Raw genomic sequence first — 8,774 nt, 5'->3', positions numbered from 1 at the left:
AATCATGCTCCCAACGCATCTCATGCTCCTGCATATTTGGGATCCTAAGCTAAATCTCTCTTTCCATCTCATACATTAAAATTACTTCCCTTAATGTATTGAATTTCAGCCCTTTTTTTGGGCTGAAATTTATTTTACATTAGAAGGCATTGGAAATGCAAAACTGAGAATCCATTTTAACAAGGAATATTGAATAGCAGATCACAGACCATCTTTCCATTAAAGGAGAGGAATTAGAAATGGGTTGACATGCTCTGTGGGCCTCATTAGGAAAAGATGAAGAAAAGGAAACTAGAATTCATTGAACTATCTCAAGTCAAATGCTTTATCGATGTTGTCTTACTTAATCTTTAAAGCCATTTATAAGACAGTTACCATTATACTCCTTGTACAGATGGGGAAATTGAGAATCACCAAAGGAATTACTTGTCTAAGTCCACGAACTTACAAAAGGGTCAACCTAAGAGCTGCTCCATTATGAGAGTTTAAAGCCATGTGCTTACATGCTGGGCATGGTGGCCATCACATCCATCTATCAATTCCAAGAGAAATGGCCCCAGATACAACCCCTGGACAAGTGAAGTTTGCTCTATGTTGGCTGCTAAAGACAAGGTCAGGCTAAGAATACAACTTTCACCTGGAATAGTACTGGTGTATTCCTGTTATTCTGTCATAACTATCAATAACAGCCCATTTCATTCATAAAATTGTCTTAACTTGGAATAATAAATCACTAGAAGCCCCCAGGTTGAATGAATGGGTCCACCCCTCAGCAGTAAAAATCAATGACAAAAATCTCAGAGACAGGGCAGCTACCATTCCAGAGAAAAACATTAGAAATTACAGTCCAAGGGCCATGGTTATATTAAAGTGTCCTCCCTTGCCCAAGACTAAATACCAACAACCCAGGTAAGATGAAAATGGTAAGTGCATGTGTTTTCAGGCACCAGAAAGCAAAGGAAAAGCTGAAAAAGCAACTTTTCACTGTATTCCAACTGGAGGGAGAAAGGCCCCACGGAACAGGGCAGGAGAGCAGTTGATGTGGAGTAGAGGGAGTCATGCTAAGGCCTGGAGAGCATGGGAAGCCAACCTGGGCCAGAGAAGAAACCCCTGGTTGAGCTGGAGAAAATAAGGGCAAGGCCCTAACCCTCATTCTTGGAGAAACTGGAGTGATGGGCAGAGAAGCAAGGTTTGAATTTTGTGACAAGGCCTGGTCTGGATCACAGGACTCAGGCAAGTGTCTGGGGAGGCCCATTGTCAGAGGAGGACAGGCAGCCCTAAGGCCTGGGATTCGTATAGTCCGCGAGTGCAGCACACGGCTAGCACAAGCAAAGCCAGCAAACTGAAAACAGAAGGGCTAAAGGGATTTTCTGCATGTCAGAAATGCAGGCAAATATTAAAGTCTCAAACCCACACCATCGAGCCAGAGGATCTATGCAGCAATGGGGCCAAGGGGGAGGGTTGGAAGGAAGTGATTCCTAGCTACCCATTAGCGAAATCATTGAGTCCTCCTGGATTTCTAGAAAGGCTAGCACTCAGGATTTTATTTTATTTATTTTTGCTCGCTTTTGTAGTGGTTTGTTGATGCTCTAATGAATAACCTATCTTTTAACTATTTCAAATATTAAATTCCTATTTCATTTCTCTTAGAATTTTTCCCCTTTAGTACTTATTAATGAATCAAAAATCCAGGCCAACCCATGTCAGTAATTGAGCTGCAATTCATCACTTCCCTCCTCTTTCATGTTAGAGATAAAGTGTCCACATAGCAGAACCCACAGGTATTATAACTGTTCTTAAGACCAGGGGTTGGCCTGGTTAGGACAAGGTTTACTGCGTGAGAGATGATGTTACTGGATAAGTCTCAGATTGTCCTGGATCTAGTTGCTCTATCTCCCAGGACAGATGCAGCTTATCCTGAACAATAAATTCTGGACTACAACCCCTAGGCCTTTCACTTTGCAGGATAAAATTCATTTATCACTGAGAGATAAATGAATAGTAAGAAGAGGCACATTCATAAACTCTGAAAAGGGATGAATTCTTCTTGAATAGAGGTATGTCCAGCACCTCCTTCAACCTCAGTCAGGCATGCTTACATCTTGTTGATGTAGCTGCAACAAACTATAAGGTCCCTGGCAGAATCTACATCTTATCAGCGTCAATTTCATGGGTGGGCTAGCACTAAGTAGCTATTAATTCTGAGCATTCACAGTAATGTTGGTTAGAGGAAGGGGAGATGCAATGGGGAACCTAAGCTGGGGAAGGCAAAAAGATTTTAACCTAAAAACCAGCTCTAAAGGACTGGTAGCAGCAGTGTGATGCATGGTGTTGAGAAGGATTCTGAGGCTCACCAGGAAAGAGTTGCTCCATTAGTCAAGTCCACCATGAGTGCCTTAAGTGGGAATGATGCCATGCCTAAGTGTCATAGAGCACTGCTCTGACCAATGCATGGGCCCTCTGCTATTTGTAGATGTTTGGTATGCAATGGTGGTAGGAAAAGCCCAGTGATGATTGATGATCTGCTCATGGGAGAGAAGGAGGAAGTTTGAAGGAAAGACAGATCCTGAATGCTTTGAAAATAACAGTCAATTTCTTACAAAACAAAAACAAAAGCAAAAAAACAAACCAGCCATGATAAAAGAACAACAGCTGAAGCAATGTCCCAAGGGAGGACAATCCTGAGCTGATGGAGACAGCACGTGAAATCTCAGGGAGAGACTGATCCCCAGAACAAGTGGGCTGTGGCTCAAAGCCAGGTCACTGAGGCTGGCCTCCAGTCCAGTTCTCACTGGGCTGCACAAGTCCTTAAAGAGTGTGCTGTAATGGAGAGATGAACCAAAGAAGCAATTCAACATGGAAAGCAGTGCTCTTTCATTCCAAAAGAGAGTCTTAGACTCCTGGAGAAAAAGAGGCTTTTATTACACTCTCAGCATGGGGCCAATTAGATTGGAAAAGAGAACCCACGGTGTCTTCCAGAACTGAAAGAAAAGAAGCATTTGCAGCAACAGTGCCGCATCCAGACCTGCCAAGGCATTTGCAGATGGTCACCACAGCAACCGGTAGCCCGAAGGCCACTCAGAGGGAGATCACAGTGCGTGGGCTACCCTAGGAAGTCTCTCCACTGAGCTGCAGATATGGATTTGAAGATGATTGGCCACAACCTACCAGTAGGAGCAAGCCAAAGAATTAGCATCTGGACCACCACTGTTGATTTGGCTGTACCCCAGGGCTGATGACCCCAAGACCCTTGCACCCCTGTCATCTCCGTCGCCATAGCCCTGGCAGAACAGCTCCCTGTGTTTTCTGATAATCTACTTGTGCTAGGCCACAATCATCCTCCACCCTTAGATTTCTTGAAGGGCCTCTCATGGTTTTCCATTTCTTCCTTTCCCAAAAGCCCCAGCCTGAGGGGCCTGGCCAAGGGAGCCAATGAGTCCCTCTTAAACCACTGGGAAGAAGGAAAATACTTCACAGAGCCGATTAGAAACAAAGCAAATGATTCTGTGGAAACATTTAATTCATTCTTGGCAAGCCATGCCATGGGCTTGGAAAAACAGAGCTGCGCTTCGGTCTTCTCCCCCGGAAGCCTATTCATTCGATCTATGGAAAAAAAGAAAGGTAAAGCTGACACTTTTCAGCAATCTGCAAGTAATGACAACAAGGCCTGGGAGTACCTAGTGTTAGCAGAACTGGCGCAGCAGAGAGAGCTGGCTCCAGCCTCGTGGCCTGGATAAGTAATCAGACTCCATGCAAACAGTGCGCACCCTACCTGGGGCTGTGGGACATGCTGGCCTAGGCCTGTTTGGTGGAACTCTGAGCATTGCCCCTCTTGGATCCATCTCCAGGGTGCTTTTTTTCTGCAGATGAAGATGATCTTAGCTCCACATGGAAGGCTGATTATTGTCAGAGCTCCTTGCCTCTCTACCCACCACTAAGGGAAAGTGGAATTGATGGATTCACCATTCACGATGTGTCATTTCATCAAGGACAGAATTATGTGTTGTTTGAAATATTTGCCGATGCCATTATAGGTGGACCTGGCAACTGGAATCCACAGTCGGCCGTTTGTTTCACAGTCTCAGGAGCCCACCTCTCATTTCCAACAGCAGACCCTACTAGGGGATTAGAGGTCCCTTTCCTGTCAAGAACTGACCTGCAGAATCAACCCAACTTTCCAGCTGGCCACAACCAATTGAAAGGTGTTAGCTCATGACATAAAACATATTTGCCCTCCCAGCCTTGGCCCCTCTGTGAGCTTTGTGTTGTCACTGCTGCTACAACTGGATGGCTTCATCTGGCAAGGAATGAGTGACCAGCCCAAGGTCAGGCAGCCTGAGGATGGCAGAATCAGTGACATTGCCTCAGGTACTTGGCAAGTCCAAGCTAGCCTCGGCTGAGAACACCAGCCCTCGCCAGCATGCTCTCCACTTTCTGTGCTCAGATGGCTCAGACTGTTGGCTTCTGCTCCTGGTCGTGCTGGACTCCTGCCCTCAGCCTGGCCCACTGCTTCTGGGAACACACACACAGCAGTGGTTGCCCTGGTTCTGACAGTTCCCAACACAGTGAGCATAAAGGGTGGGGATATGGAGCCCCCGTGGTGACACCCTGGGGCCCAAACTGCTAAAGAGTGACATGGATTAGGTAAAACATTGGCATACATCATTTTAAGGAAGAGATGCATCCTTCCTTCATTCATTTCTTTATTCTTTCACTGGACTCTGCGTTGAGTCCCTGCTATGTATGTCAAAATATGTGAAGGCAATGAGGATACAGAAAGGGAAAGACCTGGCCTGTGTTCTGGAGGCATCGGTCAGGCAGAACAGACAAAATGCCTGGCCCTAGACTGACTAAGTTCTCTCCTTCCTTTTTTGCCACAGCCCCCTGAGACCGGACATTCCCAGCCTCCTTCTTCCTGCCTCATAGGGGCCACTGGTCAGTTGATCCCTGAAGGTTCCCTCCAGAGCTGGACATGCATGCAACGGGGTGGCCTTGGCCAGTCCCACCTGTGCTGCAGGGTTTGGTGGGTTTACTGTGAATCACTGCAGGGAAACAGCAGAGAATGAAGCAACATAAAAGCAGAGGTGGGAGGGATATTTCCAGCTGTCGTGTCACTTCCTGGTGTTTACTAACTCCCCCTGTGGCACCTGGAAGTCCCCCTGGATGTCTTGCTGACAAGTAGCTTTGATTCCTAAACCTTATAACCTCTCCCCCTGCCCACCCTCTGAAGGCTACTCATCCTTTCCCGAGATGTGGGCAGGAAAACCTCTGCTCTGAACCTACACTGCCAGCACCCCAGCCCTGGTAAGACCCTCCCCAAAGACCCTTATTTATAAATAAGGAACATGGAAGAGGATTAGGTCAAGGCAGAAGAGGTAGCAGACAACAATGAGGGGAGAAAAAGAGAGAGATTGAGAGAGAGAGAGAAGGAAAGGGTCGGGGAGTCGCAGAGCAAGAGAGAGAGAGGTATAGGTATGAGGGAACAGGAGCCAAAAAGAAAAGTGAGGGGCTCCCAAAGAAGACATTGTTTTTGGCAATCTTGCCTGGAAGCAATTCTGGCAACCTCATTGCTTCCATTTCCTTTTCTGTAAAAGGTGTGGAAAGCACTGTCTTCTCTCTTTGATTTCCTGTGAGACTGAGTTAATGAGAGCAGAGAAGTGATGGGGAGGGGGAAGGAGAAAGCGGTGAGGACAGAGCCTCTTCGTGATGAAGCCTAGAGATTAGAACACTTGCCATAAATTAGTTTCCATCAAAACAGCTTCATCTGTGAAAGATAATGTTGTTTCCTCATTAGTGGTTTTTGTCTGTGATAATTAAGCCTCCACATTTGATCTCAGATAACCCCTCCTAACTTGACATCATTCAATCTGCTGAGATTGGAGGAGGGATGGAAGCGACATTGACTCACAAACACTGGATTCTTTTCATGGATGCTCTAATGGCAATATGAGAACTTACTGAGGGCGCAGATGTGCAGGAACACATTACATGCACAGCCAGCAGGCCTCCAAATTCCCCTGCTCTCCAAGCGGTGTTAATCCCCAAATAAAAAGGCTTAAACCCCAACCATGGGGGGAAGTTCAGTAACCATGCCATCCCATAACATATACGTAATCAAGCCATAAATATTTCAGAGAATTTCCCAGAGGCCTTTCCTCACTCAAGCCTGCTTGCAGTGAATTAGAGCCCTAGCAAACCCCCTCACACCTAGTCAGTGTCAACTCCTGTCTCCCTCTCTCTGAATTAGTCACAGAAATCTATGATGGAAAAAAAATCTATGATGGAAAAAAGAAACCAGGCACACCACCATGGACACCTCCTCAAGAAAAGCCTGGGGAAGGTCCTTCAGGAAGTGTCCAGAAAATGGCGTCATTATCACAGGAGATGACAGCTTCATGCGTGTAATTGCCCCTGCAGGTTTTCCAGTGGGACAAGATGTGGAGGTGGAAGACAGTGATATTGAGGGTCCTCACCCTGTGAAGGCCTAGGCCAATGTGTGTGTTTCTGTCTTCATTTTTCACAAAAAATTTCTAAAAGTTAAAAATAACAAATAATTTTAAAAATAGAAAAATGCTTATAATGATAGAAATAAAGAAAATATTTTTGTACAGCTGTACAATGTGTTTGTGTTTTAAGCTAAGCATTATTATAAAAGAGTCAAGCAGTTTTAAAAAATATAAAAGTTTATGGAACAAAAAATTTATGGTAAACTAAAGTTAACTTAATATTGAAAAAAGAGAAATTTTAAAATAAATTTAATGTAGCCTAAATGTACAGTGTTATACTCTGCAGCAGTGTACAGTAATGTCCTAGGCCTTCACAGTAACTCACCACTCACTGACTCACCCAGAGAAACTTCCAGTCCTTTAAGTGCCATTCATGGCAAGTGCCCTACACAGGTGTACCCTTTTAAAAAATATTTTATACCACATTTTTACTGGAACTTTTCTATGCTTAGATATGTAAAGATATACAAATACCATTGTAATGATGCATTTCTTAGAATGGATCTCCATCGTTCTCAGAACATTCTTACAACATTTCCCCATCATTAATTGACACATGACTGTATTTTCTTTTCTTTTGATGCTTTAATTTGAATATTTTCTAATGACCTACTCTAGTTCACTAATCCTGTTTCCTGTCACGCCTATCTGCTTCTCTCTATTTGTAATTTCAGATACTGAATTCCTTAAATTCCAGAATATTTTAATTTTTAATATTTTTATTTCCAATTTTTTATAATTTTCAGTTCTTTGCTAAAATTATCAAACTTTTCTTCTATCTTTTAAACATACAGCTCCCAAAAAAGTTTATTCTTCCCTTTTCTAGGAAGAGAAAGGAAGAGGCTGATCCCTGTAATCCAATCAGGCATTGAGATGAATATCAGCTATTTTTGCAAGTTTTATAAACTCAGTCTACTTTTGATTCGCCATTGTTTCTACCATATAGCTCTTCGAGGCTATTAACTGAAGGCCTGGTGTGTTCCACTAGTAGGCCTTAAACTCTACTCTTTGTTTTCTCAGCACAAGACTGCAGAAAATTCTGCTCAAATGTTTTCTTCTTAGATTTTTAGCCTGCTACCTCACAGAGCTTCAGAATTTAACAGACTTCTTGAGAGGGAAGCTGGATGATGTTTGAGGTTCCCAGGTCTCCAATTTTTCATTCCAAACCTTTAAGACCACACAAAGCCCTGTCCATTTTTCTGTCACCTAAAGATGTTTCTTTACTTGAGCAAGGGTACATTCTCAGCCTCTTGTTCTTGCCCATAATCAGTCAAATGGCCACAGGAAAAAAGCAGCAGCGCATTTTCAGCTCACCTCCCTGTGGTTCTGCCCTCTCCAAAGCCTCAGACCTTCAGGTCCTCATGGCTTCAGCAGATCTCCATTGCCTTTAAGCCAATTATTCTTACATTTCATCTTGATTTATTACTTGTTTTAGAAGAAACATTGGTCTGTTCCCAACATTCTGTCCTTCATGGGGCAAAATTCCAGTCATTTATTTTTTAATATCACTTAATTTTTCTTTTTGGTGTATCCATGTCACCTGAGATTTTTCAAATTATTTAACATCCAGGGATGTTTGTCTAGTTATTATCTAAATAATAATACGGGAATGAAGCCTACATGCCTGATGAAATCTAAGCTTGTTTTTGAAGATTGTAGACATTTTTTTCCCCAAATAACTTCAGAAAATTTTGAAATTATAGTTTTTCTTAAAAGTTTTTATAAGTTAACATCAAAGTCTTAGACAATGACCTGGCTCACTGTAGCAAAGCCTACTTCTTCTTTATACATCCACAGCTCTCTGCCCAGCCCCGGCCATCTCTGTAAGTTGAAATATTTGATAAAGTACAATAATAGTCCAGCACTGCAAAGGAAAAGAGGAGGACTGGCTTTGAAGAGTGTATCTTCCCTTTCTGAAGAAAACCTCAAATATAGCATGTTTCCAAATACCCATTTTACACATAAGAAAAGTAAGATTCAGAGAGGTCAAGTAATTTGTCCAAGATTATGTAGCTAGTAAATTGTGTCACTAATATACTAGTCTGTCTGTTACTCTTTATCCCAGAAAATACATACAAATCCAGATAAAAGAACATATTAGGTGAGTGCAAAAGTAATTGTAGTTTTTGCATTGTTAAAATCTGCCGTTTGATATTGGAGTACATTCTTAAATAAATATGGTTAGTGTATAGTTCTTCTATACATCATTTTAGTAAGCATTTCTCACTTTATTTTTTTTTTGTCTGATGACATTACTTGCTGTTTATT

Source organism: Homo sapiens, chromosome 7, assembly GCF_000001405.40.
Source record: "Homo sapiens chromosome 7, GRCh38.p14 Primary Assembly".
NCBI lineage: Eukaryota > Metazoa > Chordata > Mammalia > Primates > Hominidae > Homo > Homo sapiens.
Note: the sequence above shows the minus strand (reverse complement) of the source record.